The sequence below is a fragment of the Homo sapiens genome, chromosome 15 (genome assembly GCF_000001405.40).
Source record: "Homo sapiens chromosome 15, GRCh38.p14 Primary Assembly".
NCBI classification, from domain to species: domain Eukaryota; kingdom Metazoa; phylum Chordata; class Mammalia; order Primates; family Hominidae; genus Homo; species Homo sapiens.
The window spans coordinates 69,746,101-69,766,023 of NC_000015.10; the positions used below are offsets into that span (position 1 = coordinate 69,746,101).

The 19,923-nt window shown below is 44.4% G+C and overlaps 1 long non-coding RNA gene across 1 annotated transcript in view, besides 1 other annotated feature; it reads left to right on the forward strand.

Moving 5' to 3' along the window:
- Nucleotides 1-5,848: 5,848 nt before the first annotated feature.
- Nucleotides 5,849-19,923, forward strand: part of LOC107984788 (uncharacterized) — a 34,565-nt gene continuing 20,490 nt past the window's right edge. The window contains exons 1-2 of the long non-coding RNA XR_001751592.3: nucleotides 5,849-6,416; nucleotides 10,056-10,106. This is a non-coding gene — a long non-coding RNA (uncharacterized LOC107984788). The remainder of the gene's footprint in view (nucleotides 6,417-10,055; nucleotides 10,107-19,923) is intronic.
- Nucleotides 14,833-14,902: an enhancer, noted in NCBI's record as "active region_9663". NCBI's record gives its function as "activates an Ori minimal core promoter by ATAC-STARR-seq in GM12878 lymphoblastoid cells {active_cell/tissue: GM12878}" and the evidence as "EXISTENCE:reporter gene assay evidence [ECO:0000049][PMID:35858748]".

The window sequence follows — 19,923 nt, forward strand, 5'->3', positions numbered from 1 at the left end:
TGGAGGCCACTGAGGCTCAGAGGAGTGAATGACTGACCAAGACCTGTTTACCTGCCTGTTTTGTTGGTTTTTAAAAACACCTTTCCAAGAGTTAATGTACACTGATTCTTAATATGTGGGACATATAATATAAAAATTTCATACTGAATAAATGATATTTATTAAGCCAAAAAAGGAAAAAGATGAGGTGTTTTGGCTATATTACTTGAAATACAAACATGCAGGTTTCATCACTGAAAAAAATAGTCTCAATTGTGTTTCTTCATGGAGAACATCAACTGAACCTGGAATTTCCTCACACCTTCTTTAGAAAGAAAACACAACAAAACAAAAACCCAGGAAGAAATTAACTAAAAGCTTTTTGGCCACTGAGACAGCAGGGACGGTACAGCAGGATGCTGAGGGGCACACTGACTAGCAGCAGGTCACACAGCCTTGGCTCACTTTTTGCAGGTCACCAACTTGCTAACTTGTGATTCTGTAAAAGGGGGAACCTGCAGCCTGCGGGAAGCCAGAGGGTATGTGCAATGCACCATGTCCTATGCATATACGCACAATACTGTATGTGCACATGTATATGTCACATGTACACAGGTACGGGGCCGCTGTTCCCAGGGCAGGATCAGGAAAGATACCTGATCCAGTGCCCAGCACAGCCATTTCTGAACCATATAGATATTATTCCATGAAAACACACAGAAGAGTCTTCTCTAACAGCTGAGACCCCTTTTTAGGATGATGATGATGGTGATTTTGTTTACCATTCACTGAGTGTCTGATACGTGACGCTGGAGACCGGGGCTGGCACTGTCAAGTGAGAGAGACAGATTATAAACATAATAAACAGTAGGATTCTGGTTCAAGATGACTGACTGGAGACATCAGACACCCACCCCCTCCAGAACGGAGAACCCACATTATGAGGAGACAATCACGCTGGGGACCCAGAGGGGCCCTGCCCTCCATGAGCCTCCAGGCTGGGAGACAGAGACAGGTCTCCCCTTCAAGGATAGTAATAATGGCAAATGTTTCCATCCCCCTTGCCCTGTGCAGGCATATGTACATGTACCTGTGGCAGTGCAGCAGCAGCAGAATTCATTTTTCTCCCAGCAATTGCAAAGCAGAGACCAGAGAAGCACAGCACTTGAGTGGCCCAGAGCAGTCCCTGTGTCGCTAAGGGACTCTGGCTGGGAGGAACAGCTGGCCTGGCCCTGGAATTTCACCGCTTGCTGAGGCTCAGCAATGGTCCTGGAGGGCCCTTCCCACACCCTCAGGAACCAGCACCTGGAGGGCGACTCCTTGTCTTCCTCAGCCTGTGCAGGCCAGAGCAGGACCGACTTGCCTGGGGCCTTCTTGCCCTTTGCTAAGGGAATACCTGGTCCTGGTCCCTGGCTTTCCTCAAAGACTCTCTCATCGAGTTCTTCCACAGAGGGCACTCACTGGAGACCTGTGGGCCTTATATGGGCTGTGGGCAAGTTTTATTTGACCAGAATTTTTTTCAATAATTTCAATAGCTGCCAGTATTGAAATGTTGGGTGTTTTCACGTTAAAAGCAAACAAACAATAAAATCCTGACCTTTCTTGGAAACTTGGGAAAGCTGACCACAGGAGGCCGGGTTCCTGCACCAGCACGTCTCTGGAGTGGTCGGTGGAAGCCTTGCTGCCCTTTAGCTGAGGGCACGTTTCCCGTGGGCCCTGCCCAGCCAGCCTCACACGTTTCATTACTTGCCTGGCCCTGTGGCATTTGTGTGTGTGACCCATGCCCAACTCTGTCTTTATTTTATAGGTGGGAAAACAGGAGCGGTTTAAAAGTTGTGAAAATTGGAGCTCTGAGAGCCTCCATCTTTTTTCTTTTCAAGCAGCTCCAGGCCCTGTTGGTCAAAAACAGCTGGACCCACAGGAGATGCTGGACCCCACCACATACCCACCATGGGATGCACCCCACCCCCTCAACCATGGCATTTTCTCAAATTAAAGATTCCAGGCAGGCTGGGGCTTATTTTCCACCCAGTGTCTAGGGCATATTTTCTCCTTCAAGTCATTACAAGTTCTACATCTCCAGCAACCCAGGGTCTTGAAGGCAAAGCCTGCTTTTCCCGACAGCCCCAGAGTGCTCAGACGCGAGGTTTCCTCTGTTCAGTTTCCATATGCCCCACTCTCGCCTTTGGTCTGGGTGCAGCTTGTCAACATTAAATAACCACCTCTTGCGGTTCTCTCATAACAATTCCTTAGATCTTGGAAGCCTGGCTGTGGAGCTCTGCATATGTATAGATCTAATTTTCACACAACAGGCTGCTTAGCAGATGGGGACCCAGACCAGCCTCCAACGTTTAGCTGAGAGCTAAGACGTGGGAAACTAGGTGGCTTTTAACCAGCCCCTATTGCTGCCAGCACTCAACCTTACAGAATTTTCATAGAGGGGAAAGAAACTCAACCCCCACCCCCAACAACAACAACAACAAAAAACGAACAACAACAGACACACACACACTCACACACACACACACACACAACCAACAAAACCACAATTTTCCTTGCTCCCCCAAACCAGATGGCAGATGGTATGGAACCAATAAAACACAGATTCAAACATTTGTTTATTTAACATTGAATGTAATATGGCTTTGTGGTCCCTTGCAAGGAAACACCAACCTTCCAACCAAAGAAATGACAGATTTCAGTCAAACCTCAGGGCAGCGTTTGGAGGAGCTACCCCTCAGGAGGCCCATGCAAAGAGGGGCCAGGGAGAATTAAACACTGGACTGGAAGCCTCTTGGCCTGGTTTCCTCTCTGGCTGAAAAGCTAGGTCTTCGGAAGTGCTGACTGACACTCCATTTCTGTTGCTTGCCTTTTGTTGATGTTCAGTTCCAAAGGCAGCCAGCCACATGAAGAATGTTTCTGCCTGCTTTCTGAAACAGCTGTGGAAGATGTGACTCTGGGCTGCCAATGCAAAAGAGCATGAGAAAAAGGCTTGAGCAGTTGAGAAAAGGCTCTTTCTTGGCGCCTTGGGTCTGTAATGTCAGAGAATGTGACTTTGCTATGCAATGTGGTTCCCCTTTTGCTTTGGCTTCCAAGACACACAGAGCTAAATTATATGTTCAGTTGAAATAACTATCTCTACTAGTTAAGATTCTTTTGGTTACAAGTGGCAGGAACCTGGCCCAAATTATTTTTTTAAAGAAGATAATTGATCAGGTCAAGTAAGTGCAGATGGCTTCAGAGATGGCTGGTTTCACCGTGGATTCAGTGTTACTAGGGCTTCCCTTTCTAGGTCTTAGACACACTGTCTCCACACGCCAGCCATGGTAGCCCCAAATCACCCCAAACTCACATCTGGGAAGATGTGAGCAGCCCCAGGAGAAGAACGAGTCTCTTCCACCAGCTCTGCCAGCAAAGTCGTGTTGGAGGAACCTGACTGGTCCTGCTTGGAGCATAGGCTCACCTTCAAACCAATCACAGTGACTGAGACTTGGTGTACTCAGCCTGGCCAAACCTGGGCCATGTGACTATCCCTATAGGTGCAAAGAGGGGCAAGACTAACTTGACCCTGAACACATGGAATATATTTCTTATAGAAAATATGAGGAGGAGGAAGGAGAACTATGCAAATAAATAAGCCTGGGATTCTGGCATAGCTTTTCCTTCTCCTGCCCTAATTCATATTTGTCTTCTAAAATGATTTTTAAACATGTATCTTTCGTGTAAGCAATTCCAAAATTATTAAAAATAAGAGTAATCCATGATGAATGAATGAATTAATGAATAAACAAGTGAAAGATTGAGTAGTCTCTAGAATGTGCTGCTTAGGGTGGTTCCTTTGTAAAATTGTACAATCATTATTCAGATTGCCAGAGCCAGAGGGAGCTGTAGAGCTCTACCTGTTCATAATACTTGGGTTATAGATGAGATCATGGAGGCCCAGAGTGGAGGTACATCACCCAAAGCCTGGTAAAAATCATCTGCACAGCCTGGAACCCAGAGCCCTGATATCAGGCCTGGGGCTCTTCCTGTCCCATATCTGTCTCTTGCCTCTCATCTTCCTAAGTCCTTCTCCCTGGGCTGGCTTCCACTTTCGGGCCCTTATTCTGGAGTCTTGCTATGAGTTGCCTGGCAAAAATTTCTTGCTAGTATATTAACTTATAAGAGTGAAACTGAATTTCCCAGGGCTGTTTGGGCCTTCTAGATCCCCCAAAATGCATCTTTAACAATGATCTCTGTATTGGTTTGTTAATTGTTAAGTAACAAATTACCACAAAGGTAGCAACTTAAAATAGCACATACAAATATCTTCTCTCAGTTTTCATGTGTTGGGTTACCAGACATAGCTTAGCTGAATCCTCTGTACAGTCTCACAAAGCTGCAATCAAAGTGTTTACTGATGCATTCTCATCAGGAGGCTCAACTGGGGAATTCCACTTCCAAGCTCACTCAAGTTGTTGGTTGAATTCATTTCATTTCCCTGTGGCTGTATGACTGAGGGCCCCAGCTTTTTGCTGGCTGTGGGCTGGAGGCTGCCTTCAAGTTAACCTCACAATTCCTTGCCACATGAGATTCCTCAACATGACTGCTTACCTCCTCAAGCTAGCAAGGAGAATCTCTCATCCAGAGAATCTCTCAACTCTGTCATCATGGAGTTTTATATAAAGCAACATAATCATGAGATTGACATCCTATTACCTTGCCATACAACGTAATCGAATCATGAGAGTGGCATCCATCACCTTTACCATATTCTGTTGGTTAAAAGCAAGTCACAGATTCTGCCAGGGGCGAGAATTATTAGGGTGAACTTAGGGTCTCCCTCCACAATCTCAGGTCTTGGTGACTCACCTGTAATGTACTCATAACTCTATAACAGGAAGCCCCTACTCCATGCCAGGCAGCACACTGGTCTTTACACATGGCTGAGTGGAAGTGATGGACCTACAGACAGATAATGGCCAGACAGTAAGGTCAAGGCTGAAGGCTGTGTGTTTGAAGGGTTTGTGCATCACAGAGGATACAGCCTCTTCTTAAACTGGGAAGGCAGGGAGTTAACACTGGCACAGGCTTGATGGGTGAATAGGAAATTGACAGGAAGACAAAAAGGGTGGCAGAGAAGGTCATGATGTGGAGGTAAAAGAGCGAGATGAGTCTGGGGAGCTGCAAGTAATCCAGTTTGATTGATGTTAAAAGCCCTTGGGTCATGGGGCAAAGCCAGATCACTGAGGGACCTAGAAGCCAGGTTTAGAAGTGTGTCTTCCTGCTGTGACCTGAGACAGCCACCGTGAGGTTATAATAGGGGAATTTGGGAAGTGGCATGATGGGCTTGGGCTCCAGGGAGTGAGAAGCTCCAAGTAGGACCCTGAGCAAGGCAGTGCCTATGGGGATGAGAACAGCCTGGCTTGTCTGTGCTAACAAGAAGTCCACTCTCCCCCTAAAATATTCCAGGGAAGGCAGACCTTCTGAGAGAAGTTTCAGGCAGCTGGGCTGTCAGAATGATGAGTTCTGCAGACCAGCAGCTGAATGAAAGAAGAAAAATGTCCCAACAAGCCCCGTTTCACTGCCCTTGACCTTGCAGTAGAGCTCTAAGTGCAAAATCTGTCATCTATTAATCTGCTAGAAGTTGACAAAAGGGACTTTGATCAGGGGTTGTTTTTTCTCCCCTTCTTAAGTTTCCTGATGACACATAATAGCCCATTTCAGCCGTAGGCCCGGAAGCACGGCCATCATTCTTTTGCTCACTTCAACCCCAGTGGCCTCCTCCCCTCTGTGGCTTTCCCCCATCCCCTGCCCTGATATTAATTGGCCTGTAAGTGGTTACATGTGTTTCTTTTTATGTGTCAGTTGGAACCCGTTATTTGAACTTCACAGCTATTTGGGAACACAGAAAGGATTCTCTGGGCCCGAGTTGGAAAATGGAACCATCTAGAACATGTCACATTTGCTTCTACCTCCTGTTTTTTTTTTTTTTTTTCTTCCTCTATGCCTTGAGGTCTTGATATCTCCCACCCTCACTCCTATTCTATCTCCACTCCTCTGAGTTAGGTCTACCCTAACTTTTTAGACCATGGACATTCACAGCCAGGAGGGACCTTAGGGAGCCTACAAACTTTTCTTCTACAATCTATAGCTTCTTGTTTTAAAGTTAGAGAAACTGAAGCCTAAGAGAGGAAAGCAATTTTTTTTTAATGAAAGTAACATCTGTTTCAGGTCTATTAGGTACAGGTTTCTTACATGTGTTCTCTCATTTTATCCTCAAAATAACTGAGTTAGGAATCACATTGCCATTTTTCAGATGATGAAATGGAGACTCCTGGAGACAAAGCAGAAAGGATGCTTGGGGCGGATTGCCTAGGATTATATTCCATCTCCAGCACTTACCAGCTGTGTGATCTTGGGCAAGTGGTTTACCTTCTCTGTGCTTCAAGTTGCTGGTCAGTAATGGGGCTAACAAAAGTGGCTACTTCAAAATGTTATTATGAGGATTAAATTAAATGATTTTTGGGTACCTAGAACAGTGTCTGGTACACAGAAAGCACTTGTTAAATGTTAGCTGCTGCTGCTCTGAGAGGCAGTGCAGTGCAGCACAGTGGTTTAGCACACTGCTTCTGGAATGAGATGTTCTTGGTTTGAATCTCAGCACACCAGTTACTAGCTATATGAACTTGGGTAAATTACTTATGTTCTCAGTGACTAGTCTCATCTACAAAATAGGAATATTCCTGATGATTGGTTCCTCAGTGAAATGGTTAGCTTCCCACATTATTACCTTGCAGTGAGTTCTGCCAACTGAAAAGCCCTTTTCAACCCTATGGAGCTTTTCATCAGATCTTTAGTGACCCATTTTAAACGTGAGTAGACTTCAAAAAATTACAAGTTACATCATCACAGAGATGAGAAGATATTGCATCTAAGAAAATAAAAATGAATGTAAAAAGAAAGAGTGGGGATCAAATGAGAATAAGACAGAGCTCTTGAAAATTAAAATTAATAGTCCAAAAAAAACCTTAAAAAATAACACATTTGATAGATGAGGAGAATGCTCAGAAAGTAAAACAAAAAGATAAACAGATTGGAAATAGGAAAGAAAGATAAGAAAATTGGAGGATCCATCAAGGATATCCAGCATCCAAAAAGTTAAACGTCCCAAAAAGAGAAAAATGGAGAAAACAAGGGGAAGAAAATATTCAAGGAAAAATACAAAAATAAAATTCCCACAACTGAAGCCATGAGCTTACTTATCGGAATCTACCACATGCTAAACACAGCAAATGACAAAAAGATCCACATCGAGGCAAATTATTAGGAAATTTCAGAATACCATAGATCAAGAAAAAATATCAAAAGCTTCCAGAAAAGAAAAACGAAAAGCAAATAAAAACAAAAACATATATAAAAGATCAGGGTACAGGATGGCGTTGGATTCCTCAACAGTGGCTCAGGAGGCTGACTGAGGCTGTAGAATTCTATACCCAGCCAAACTATTAATTGAGTGTGAGCTTCTCAGCAGCAACACTGAAAACTACAAGCAAAGAAGCAGTATCTTTAAAATTCTGAAGAAAAGTGACTTGTGAAATAGAATTTATGCCCAGCCAAATAGCAACCCACAAGAGCGCTAAAGAATTTTTTAAATGACAGTCCCCCCACATTTTCCTTGCATTCTCCTTGTCTCAGGATGCTGCTGGAGGGACTGTTCTGCTAAAATGAGGCGGTCAACCAAGAAAGAGGAAGACATAGAATCTGCAAAGCAGATGACCTGGTGGAGGAAAAACTGAAGGGATATTAGGATTGTGTGGAGAGATGCTAGGTTTGCAGCAGGGCCCAGGCACAGAGCACCATCTCTTCCTGTCAACAAGGCCCCACTGTACTGTCGCTGGTGCTGTGGATCCCCTGAAAGCAGACTGACTCTCATTCCAGCCCCATCTGTCTTCCCCAGCTACCTCACCCACTGCAGCTCCAAGGCCAGTCTCCTTGCACACCCTCCACAGGGCACATGGAGACTTCTGGAGTCCTCCATGCATCACAGGAATTGAGGAAGACTCTGGCATTCTGTCATCTGCTGTGTTGGTTTAAATGCCCCAGCCCAGTTGCCTCATCTTTTAAAAAGGATAATAATTAGCACCAATGTCACAAGGCCAATGTGAGAGTTTATATTTGCAAAGCACTTAGAATGACATCTGTCACATAGTAATGCAATATCGGTATTTGTTAAAATACATTATGTAATGATGTGAAGGTGAAATAGTAGTAGGCTAGAAATGTGTCACTTTAAACTTTAAAAGCTATGGCAAGTTCATCATCTCCCATTGGTCATGTATACCTAGACACTCCCAAATGGACCTTCCTAAAAGCACTTCAACTTGTGATGCCAGTGCAAGTCTGGCCACATTGATTCCTGCTGAACATAGGTTAGTGATTCCTCCTTGCTCTGTGGAAGAGGTCAGGGTTCTATTCTCAGGCCACTAGGATCTGCTCTGCTGTCCCCTCCAGAGTCACCTTGAACCAACCCTTCCTTCCCACTTGTCCTCCAGCTCTGGAAACTTTCTTCAGCATCCTTTCATAAACTGTGCTCCCTCTTGCTTCAAGACCTTCACCCAAGCTATTCCTTGTGTCTGCGTGGCTCCTCCTGCCACTATCTTCTCCTTCCTTTAGCCAGCTCCTGCTCACCCCTTGAATCTTGTCTGGGTTATCATTTTTTGCAAAGAAGTCTTCCCCAGACCCAAAAGAGATGATAAATCCCGTGATGCATTCTCATCCATGTTACGTTTAATTCTTACATTCAGCATGACCTGCAATTGTTTGGGTCATCCATCCATCCATCCATCCATCCAACAAATGCTTATTGAATGTCTATTGTATGCCAGGTACTTTTCTTGGCCTTAACCATATAGCAGTGAACCAAACAGACAGAACCCCCTTGCCCTGGTCTCTAGCAGTTATTTGATGTATATGTGTTACAAAGCAATCTCAAAACAGATATACCCAATTTGGGGCCCAGCTCTATCACTTCTGTTTCATAAACAATAGAATTTCTTTTCTCGTGTCCACTCTGTGCTGGGCTCCTGCAGTACAGACATAAAAGAGATAATTACCACACGTTTGTCTTTGAGAAAGTTACTTAATGCCTCTGATCCTAATTTCCTATATGAAAATTTTCTCTGCCACCTTTGAGGGGCCATGAGGATTAAATTACTGGACAGTTCTCTCTGTTCATGTAAAAGGGCTGTCGCATATGCAGTTGAACAGCAGAAGCCTCTTAAACAACCTGAGATCAACCATCAAAAACACAAGAGCAAGACTCCTAAGCAGTTCTTTGCTTACCACTATATTCCTAGTGTCTAACAGGTACCTGGAGGAAAGCAGTCTTTAATATATTATTTGTTAAGAAATAAGCCAATGAAATACTGCTACCTTCCCTAGAAAGATGATGGATTGAAGGCACAATCCTACTCCTATGAAACTCATGAAGATCTCCTCGAGCAATGGCAGGAAACAGAGCTGCTGACTAGCAGTTTCGCGGGAGGTTAAAAGAAGAGAAGCCCCACCCAGGCGGAAGGTCGCTGCGGTTTCTTTGGTGAATGATCCGTGCCCCAGCTCTCCCATTTAGACCCTAGTTAATCTGGCTACCCTTGTAACCAGGCCAGCCCTCTAGAATAACAGAGCCTGAAGTGAGGAGGTGGGAGGAACATTCATGAGTGGGTAACCCTGTGACTAATCCAGAGAAACAGTTTCAAGACTGGTGGTTCACCCCAGCCTTGTTTGTGTCTAATTTCCCCAGGGGCAAATCAGCCCCTTCATTTCACTCTGAGGTTTAGGGTTTCCCCTAGAGCTCTTGGTGAGACTCAGCCAGGATGTTTTGCATAAGTGTGGGAAGTCTTGGAGGTGGAAGTAGGAAATGGGGTGGAGAGTAAAGGTGAGACTGGATGGGGGGCACTCTGTCCATCCCCACTTCTGAAAAGCTTTGGCATAATTCAAATCAATTGTTTCTTCCCAGGCTATTTTGCAGAAGAATTAACACCAAAGGAGACAGAAGAATTGAGCCTTTTAAAACAAGTTTTTGTTTTTTTTTCCAGGAGAAAGGTGGGGAGAAAAATAAGAGCTGGAAAACACATGGCCCTAAACAGGTGAGAAGTAATAGGCCCTATCTTTTGTATCTGGGCCAGCCATAATTCTTGACAAATAGTGTGCATTTCACAAATGTTCATCAGTGAGTTGAAAGAACATGGGCTCTCAAAGCAGATCCACCTGGTTTGGGGCCTGGCTCTATCACTTCTGTTTCATAAACGGTGGCCTTTTTTTCCATGTGTCCACTCTGTGCTGGGCTCCTGCAGTACAGACACGAAGGAGGTAATTACTGCACATTTGTCTCTGAGAAAGTCACTCAAGGCCTCTGATCCTCATTTTTCCTATATGAAAATCTTCTCTGCCTCCCTTAAAGGGCCATGAGGATTACGCTGGACAGTGCTCTGTCCGTGACAAAGGGCTGTGGCATCTGCGTGCAGTTAAACAGCAGAAGCCCTCTTGAGCAACCTGCAATGGACCAGCTTGCTAGATTAATGTAGACTCTCCACACTACTCAGCTAGCACTGTGCCCATGCCTGGGATACACTAAACCCTTGAAGCTAGCAGCTCCAACTGAAGCTTCTCTCCAGTTTTCCTGGGCACATATGTTTCCATTGGTTGAGCTGTGTGTGCTTACTGAGGGCTATTTGTATTTCTTCTCAACCTGTACCTGTTACTCTGATTAAATAATGCAATCCATCATTTCATAATGCAATGAAATATGAGTGCAAAAACGTAGAGTTGTTTCTTTGCAAGCTAAAGTGAGTGCTTTGGAGAGAATCAATGCATGCTATAACGGAACAACCTCCTGGTGAATTCAGTGTAAGTGCGATAACTATAAAGGTTAGAGGAAAAAACAACAAAATAGAGTCTTTGGCATTCAGTTTTATATTCTCTTTCACTTTAAAGAAACAGAGACTACATATTGTTGGTGCTACCTCGTGGGCGTGATTTATCTGGGGAAGAATTCCAAACAGCCAACCCAGAGAATCCCCCATTTTCTATGACTGTCTTGGGAAAGTGGGTCTGACAAAGCTGAATCTCATCAGATTCAAGAGGGGGTGTTCGGTGGCTTTAATGCTTCTCCGTAAAGTGGATGGGAGAGTGTCAGGGCTAACTCAAGCCACAAAGGGTTCTGAGAACCTCAGAGCTGGGAAGGGCTTCATGTTCACTGGGCCCAGGCATCCCCTGGGGTGGGCACCTCCACCGCAGTCCCACTGCCAGGTGGCTGCCCAGGCTCCTGACTGATGCCCCAGTGACTCAACACCACTGAGACCTGGTTCGGTTTGAGTCGTATTCTGGTAAGCGTGCCTGACTCACTCTGCTCTCCCTTCTCTGTGCTCCTTGATGTACCCTCCTTTACCCCCAGGTGAAAAAGCTCCATTAACTTTGTCACAGCAGGTCCAGAAAGAAGCTAACACTGTAATATGAATTAGCTTAATATATTCTCAAGGTACCTATTTTCCCAGCAGGACAAGGCCTGCTTATCCTTTCAGATAATTCTTCATTCTTTCCTAGGGCCTTCCCATCTCTCCTAGCCCCAAGATCCAGGTCCTTCATCCAAAAGACCTACCCTAGGCCCCATTTCTGCACATTTCCGGCAAGATTCTGCCTGATCACTGCCTCAAGTTGATAGGACAAAATATTGTACCTGGGATCAATAAAAATTCTAATTCTAGCACTTTTTTTTTTTTTTTTTGAGACGGAGTTTTGCTCTTGTTGCCCAGGTTGGAGTGCGATGGCGTGATCTCGGCTCACTGCAACCTCCGCCTCCTGGGTTCAAGTGATTCTCCTGCCTCAGCCTCCCAAGTAGCTGGGATTATAGGCAGCTGCCAACATGCCTAGCTAATTTTTGTATTTTCAGTAGAGATGGGGTTTCACCATGTTGGTCAGGCTGGTCTCGAACTCCTGACCTCAGGTGATCTGCCTGCCTTGGCCTCCCAAAGTGCTGAGATTACAGACATGAGCCACTGTTCCCGGTCTAATTCTAGCACTTTCTAACTCTTAGACCTTGGCTTACATAATTAATGTTTCTAAAAGCTGTGATTTTTTTCATTTGCATAATGGAAATTGAAATAGCTCATTGTGATGGTTCTTCATTCAACATGTTTTTAAAGTCCCTACGAGGTGCTCAAGCACTCTGCTGCTGTGATACTGTGGGTACATGACTGGGAAAGCCAGAGGCCATCTGATACAGCCACAGGAATGAAGCTTTGCTGGTTGATAGATGGGATAATGCAGGGGTTGGCAAACTTTTTCTGTAAAGCGCCAGATAGTAAATATTTTAGGCTTTATTCTGCCATAGTAGTGCAAAAGCAGCCATAAACAATATATAAACAAATGGGTGTGGCTCTGTGCCAATAAAACTTCACAAAAAACAAGCAGCAGGCTTTGGCTTGTAGGAAGTAGTTTGCCTACTGCTGGGCTAAAGGTTAATGTTTGTGGATTGAGGGTCAGTTCCAGATCACTCCAAGAAGGTGGCTTCAGATGATGAACATGTGGACTTAGGCTGGCATGCTGGGAGTTCTTCAGGAGGGCCTCCAAATGCATCATTCCTCTTGCTTATGCAGAGCTGGACGGGTTAGATCTCAAGCTGGCTTAATTAACTTTCCAGGCCTTCTTCCTTAATGGCAAAGTACAAATTCAGTAGCATTCAGTGGCCCCTTATAACAGACACAGTAAGTATGACAAAGATACAACCCAGCCTACACTACTGGGATGACAGGGAAAAGTCATCCCAGCAGGGTTTAACTAGTGGTTTCCCAAACTTGAACACTCATTGAATCACTCAGGATGCTTGTTAAAAATACAGATTCCTGGACCCCTACTTTAGAATGATTATTTCAAGCTATAGAGATGACCTGGGGATTCTGGACCATTAGCATGTGGACCAGATGATTTTAAAGGAGGGAAACTCAGAGTTAGGCCCCTTTTAGCTGTGACATACAGTGGTTATCAAAAGAGTAAAGGAAGCCTGTCTGCCCTTGCTGGGCTGTGGTGGGACAGAGAATGGTGGTGGTGGGGATCGTTATCTTGTCTGCAAAGACGTGGCAGGATGTGGTTGACCTGAACTTCCTGTGAATCAAGGAACCAGAGAACAGGGGGGAGAGATTCACAGCCCGGCAGTAGGCTCAGCCCACATGCCTAGAGTGTGCTCAGTGGGTACTGGGAAATGAGAGCCTGGCCCCACCTCTTCTCCGTGACCTTGGGCAGGTCACTTCACCTCTCAGAGTGTCAGTTTCCTCATGGATACAAAGGAGATGATGATAGGTCATTTTCAAGGACACCATGAAGAATAAATAAGGTATCATTTATAAAACCTCTGTCTCCTTGATTAGTGGTAGAAAATTCTCTTTCAGTGGAATCAGTGTCCACCTCAAAACATCCAAGGGCCAAGAGTTAGGAGACCTCCTTCATGGGCGGGGTTTTACCAATGACTCAATGCTCCATCTTGGAGTAAGTGAGATCATGTTGCTGGGCCTCACTTCACTTGACTGTAGAATGGGACGTTATGCACCTGCGGTTCCCTGTTTCCTTTTCAAGGATTCTCTTGAAGGTTGGATGAGACTATGGAATGAGAAGTGTCCTGGTGCTGTCAAGGGATATGGCAAAAAAAATGTGCAAGACCATTCTTGTCAGGTGCGGGGAGAGATGTTGCTGACTTTAATAATGTACTTCTTTCCATTTGTTATTTTTACAACAAAGGAAGAAATAAAACAGGACCTCTGAAAGATTCCTTGTCATATATAGCTTTCTCCTATTGAGTTATTTTCATCTGAGTTTATCAATCAATTGAGAAACAGTCACTGGATATCAACGGTGTACCCAGCCCTGTGCTATGTGTAAGATAAGGAGGTTCAGAGGTATGCCGCTAGGTCCCTAACCATGAGAGACCCACAGTCCAGCTTAGGAGATAACAAATATGTGTTATCCAGGTATGTTAACACATGGGAAGTGAAATAGAAGTGCAGTGATGATGCTGATGATGCTGACAGTAATGATGGAAAGGATGAAGATGATGTTAATTATTCTTCATATACACCACAATTGTACAGTTTACAAAGCATGTTTAGGACGATTATCTTATCTGATATTCAAGTCTAGAAAAACCCTGATTTTACTGATGAACAAACTGAGGGTAATAACTTCTCAGAGATCAGATAGGAAGAAAGTAGCTTAGTTGGACTCCAGCTTCTTTCTTTTGGCCCCAAGAGTGCCATTATCCTCAAGACATCATAACTTTCTTCCTTTAAATTGCAACAGAACATTGCAAAATGCACATTATCGTCAGATAGTAACATGAGTAAATTAGCACATGGGAAGTGAATGTTACAAGATCTCAAAGAGCAGGCAGGTCAGGAGACTGTTGACTGCAGTGAACAGAAGAGGCTCAGTGGAGAAAGCTGTAACTGAGTTTAGCCTTGGAAGGCTGCATGGTATTTTTGAGAGGTGGAGATGGGGAGAGGGGTGACATTCTTGGCAACTGGAAATGTATAGGTAAGAAAGGAAGTGAGAAAGTTCAGGGTGTGGCAGGAAATAGCCAGACCCCAGTCTGACCACAGTGGGTTCCATATAGTGGATCTGCTGGGGAAGAGTTGGGGATGTTCTCTTCCAAAGGGCTGGAGTGGTACTCTTTACTTTAGCGTAGGTGGGATATGGCCACCATTTTCTCTTTGATATCCTTATCCCCCTCAATCCCGAGTCCATCCATAATCAAATGAAGCAGTAATCAAATCAAATAACAGTCTGTAGTCCTAGCCCAAAGACAGAGTCTGCCACTTCCGACTTTTTTCTTTAAAAAAAAAAAAAAATGTCAGAATGCTGCTGAAACAGGAACAGCATTGAGGCAACAGCAGCTCTGACTCACAAACAGCACATCAAAGCAGCAACGATAAGAAACTGGCAGTAATTGTGCGTGTGAGCAGTGTTTTCCTGATGCTCTTTGAGGCTTGGGGGCCCCTCTGGGCAGCCTGATTGTGGAAAGAAGCATGTGGTTTTCAAAAATTGGGTGACTCACCACACAGGCAGTGTTCAGAAACAAAAACAAAGTCCTGTCTGCTTTGGTTCTCAGAGCCCAGGGCTTTGGGTCACTGCACATTTCAGGACATCAGTGAGCTGAGATTCATCTATTCATTCATCCAACCATCCATACATTTGACCATCCATTTATGCATCCATCCATCCATCCATCCATCCATCCATCCATCCATCCATGCATCTGTCCGTCCACCCACCCATCCAGGCATGCATGCATGCAGGCATCCATCCATCCATCCATCCATCCATCCATCCATCCATCCATCCATCCGTCCGTCCATTCATCCATTCATCCTTCTATCTATGTATGCATCTTTCCATTCATCCATGCATCTATCCACCCATCCGTCCAACCATTCATCTATTTGTTCCACAGATACTATGAGCACATATTTGGTATAGGCCCTGTGCTAGGCACAGAAGATGTAGTGGTGACCAAGATAGACTCTGAACTCAGTCCCTACCTTCATGGGTCTTATAGTCTATTGACAGAGAGAAGTATTGACCAAATAATTACATTGGCAATTAAATCACTACTGTGAAAAGCGCTGTGAAGGGAAATACTGAGGTGTGTAATAGGAGAAAGTGACCTAGTCTGGGAAGATGGTCAATGAAAGCAGGAACTTACGCTAAAAGATAGATAAGATTGATAACTCTACAATCAGCCTTTCAGCACCACCTCCTCCACCATTAGGGATAATAAAGAGGTAAAATTCAACATTTTTCAATCTCTCTGTCTTCATACAAACACCATGAGGAGTTAATGACACAATCATGCTTTTTTTGAGTCTCAGAGACCTGGGTTCAAATCCCATATTCTGAACTTACTACTGCTGTGACTTTGAATAAATTACTTAACCTTTCTGATTCTCAGTGTCTTCCACCATAAAGTGAGGATAATTATAATGGCCTTCAAAAGATAGTTTAGAATATAGGTTGAAATAATTTCTGTCAACTTCCTAGCCTATAGTAGATCCTTAATAACTGTGGCCAGGTTCTTAATCTGCTGTCACTGGTACGCAATTGTATGCATATCTCATGTGAGTTTGTTCTCCAGGGATGATCAGAGCACCATGCCTATTGTCTGAAGTGGCCGGCTGAGTTCTAGAACATAGCCATCTTTAATGCGAGTCTGAATTAGATGATCTCTAAAGTTCCTTACTATCCCAGCTTCTAGAATCCCAAAAATTCTTCATGAAAAAAAGCAAAACCATAGGCCAGGAGTAAGATGCCATGGAATCTCTTTTGCCCCTCTGAGCCTCAGTTTCCCTGTATCTCCAATGGTAGAGTTGGAACTAAGAGTATTTGTGGTCTGACAGTCTGGGATTTTGTGATCTGCAGGAGGCAAGAGGTCCTCGGCAGAGCTGGTGCCTGATCAAATCACGACATCCATAGAGTTTTACTTCTGCCCCTGTCCTTCCCCTGCTCTTTCTGCCAGCTGGCTCCAGGTGCCAGGGCTCTCACCTGCCCAGGTTCCTTCAGACAGAGCATGAAACAGCATCAACCAACAGCTTAGTTTATTCACACTGTGATCCATGAGCCTTAATATGTTTTCCCCCTTCAGAAAAATATACCTTTGGAAAGATGAACCTGGAGAGGATAATGCTTGACTCTCCTAGGTCTATCAATAATGGAGGAACTCCAGGCCTTGTAGGAGAAATGTACGGCTTCATCTCATTTCACACTCAAGGGGGAGCTCTTTATTCTGTGTATGGTCAGGATGTCCTTGCTGGGGATGGGAGCAGATCGGGAGGGAGGGGCTTGAGGTTGGAGCGGACAGGTGTTGAAGGATATCCTTCCTTGTGAAGCTCTTTTGGATGAGAGAGAGAGCAGTGCTGGTTGAGGTTCATGTCTCTCTGTTTCATGGTCTGGCTCCCAGGGACCAGCCAGTGTGGACCAGGACCCGGGGCATCTTGTCCTACATTTCCTCTCAGCCTGAGCCCTCCACAAGAGTTCTCTGGACAAGCCTTGCTTATGAGTGCCCCTGAGAGCTTCCTTTGGTGTGGCCAATGTCCCTTCTACAACCTTATTAGAGCGATGCATGGAGCAGAGTTAAATAAACAGAAATCTCTTAAGCATTTGACTACAGACTCAACTTCCCTTGTCAAATAGCCTGGGCTTTATCATTTTGGTTATTTTGGGAGTGAGGTGGGGTGGGTAGTCTTTCTTGTTTTTAGGAAATGGTATATAGAAGGCATATACAGAAGTGGTATGCAAATTCCACATCCCCTGCCCATGCAGAGGTTAGAAATTGAGCCCATCACTACTAATATTAATTTCCTATAGCCCCAGGCTTATGAGAGATTTTTTAGGAAAATGAGAAGAGAAGCCATGGACCACAATCCCGAGGAGATACATCAGGGAGTTGGAAGAACACATTAGTTGTCCCTAAGTTTGATGGGGCCCAGCCGGGCTGTCCATTCTGCTGAAGTGGCATGGCTTTTCCTGATTTCTCTCACCTGATAATTAGTTGTGACTGGTTAAGCAGCTGGTTAGGACAACTTCAGCCTTTAGCTCTTTGAGATATCCAAGGATAATATTATTTCTAATGTTCTCCTTCTTCCTACTGGCATTAGGTGATAGTGAGGTAACTTGGTTATCTGTTGCTAGTTAGGAATCAGAGCAAGAATTTAGGAAGGAAGTATATGTGCCTTCAAAGCAGCATCAGCATCTTTTGTAGATCTTCCCAACTTGAAATCTAATAAGCTCCAAATCTCGAACTGTTTCCCATTTATAATTTTTTTTTCTCAATAGCTGGCTTTGGAGGCTGGAGTCAGGCTGGGGTTAGCTACGGAGCAGTTGGAGAGAGAAGGCTCTGAAGCAAACTAGAGGGGAAAACATGCCAGGTGGTCAGTACCAGAGTGAGGAGGGAGAGCTGCCAAGACCTGGGAGATGGCTCCAGCAGGCAGTGAGCTGAGGCAGAGCTGGAGGCAGATTGGGCACAGCCCAGAGTGTCTGAGGGGGCACCAGTACCAGGGAAGGGGATTTTTGGGCTCCGGACTCTGCCCAGCCCTCCTGCCCATATTCTTCCCTGGTGCCCCTGGGGCTTCTCCCACTTTCATTCCATTGCTGCTTGTAAGAAGACAGATGTTGATGATCTTCATGTCTCTGGGGCTGTCAGTTCCCCTGGCCTAAGCCAGCTGTTCCATTGCAGAGCCGAGGCCCCAAAGGGTCTTTTACCCGCCATTCTCGCTGATTTGTTTAAAGTGTCCTTCTTATTAATTTTTAAAACTGTTGTAAAAGTTTTGAGGCCTGGCATGGTGACTCATGCCTGTAATCCCAGCACTTTGCAAGGCCAAGGTGGGAAGATCGCTTGAAGCCAGGAGTTCGAGACCAGCTCCACCATGAGTCAGAGACCAGCCTGGCCAGGAGTCAGAGACATAGAGAGACCCCCGTCTCTACAAAAAAATGTAAGAACTTAACCAGGCGTGGTGGTGCACACCTGTAGTCCCAGCTACTTGGGAGGCTGAGGCGGAAGGATCAGTTGAACCCAGGAGTTTGAGGTTGTAGTGAGCTATGATTGCACCGCTGCACTCCAGCCTGGGTGACAAAGCAAGACTCTATCTCTCAATAAATAAACAAATAAAAGAAAAAATAAAACGAAAGTTTTAATTTATTTTTTGAGTCACATGTGTTGAACTTATTTATTCAGTGAAATTTAACCTTTCAGAGTGTACAATGCATTCAGTTTTGACAATGTGTAGTATCCTATAACCACTTATAACAGAGAACATTTACAGGATCCCCCAAAGTTCTCTCCTGTCCCTTTAGAGCCAGCCCCCTCCCCAGCTCTCTAGTTCCTGCCACCACTAATGTGATCGTTGTCACTATCATTTTGCCTTACCTAGAATATCTTGTAAATGAAATCATTCAGTATGCAGCCTTTGAGTCTGGCTTCTTTCACTTAGCATAATGCTTTTGAGGCTCATCCATGTTGCCTGGGAAAGAATAAGACATCCAGTCAATCCCACTTCAAAATCATGAAATGGCAGAGTGGTGGTGCCCTGAATTAAAGGATGCTGGTCAAATAACACCTACCTGCTATAAGAACATTCTAGACTACAATGCTATGAATGATAGAATAAAGGGTTGTTTCCAGTTTTCAAGTGTAGGGTTGGGTATGATTAACTTCTTTGTTAATCCCTTAAGATTTAGGGATAACTTCATAGAAATAGGTCTTCCCTCAATCTAATTTTTAGTCTTTTGGTTTTGTTATTTATTTATTTAGAGACAGGGTCTCACTTTGTCTCCAGGCTGGAATGTAGTGGCACAATCTCCACTCACTGCAGCCTTGAACTCCATGGCCCAAGGGATCCTCCCATCTCAGCGTCCCCAAGTAGCTGGGACTATAGGCATGCACCACCATGCCTGGCTAATTTTCGTATTTTTTGTAGAGAGGGGGATTTCACCATGTTACCCAGGTTGATCTTGAACTCCTGAGTTCAAGCAATCCTCTCAGCTTGACCTCCCAAAGTGCTGGGATTACAGGCATGACCCACCGTGCCCGGCCCTGGTTTTGTTTTAATTCAACAAGTAATACAAATTTATTTAGAATAATTAGAAAGGGAAAAATCACCAATAACTCCATTATCCCAAGATATCACCACTATTGACATTTTTGAGTTCTAGGTTTTTCTTTTTCTGTTTGTATACATGTGTTTGTATGTTTTATATACATATATATGTGTGTGTGTTTATATACGTATTTCTTTCAGCTTTTTTACTGTGGTAATATACACATAACATTCTGACCATTGTTAAGCGTACCATTCAGTGGTATTAAATACATTGATGCTGTTGTGCAGCCATCACCATCATCTATCTCCAGAACTCTTTTCATCT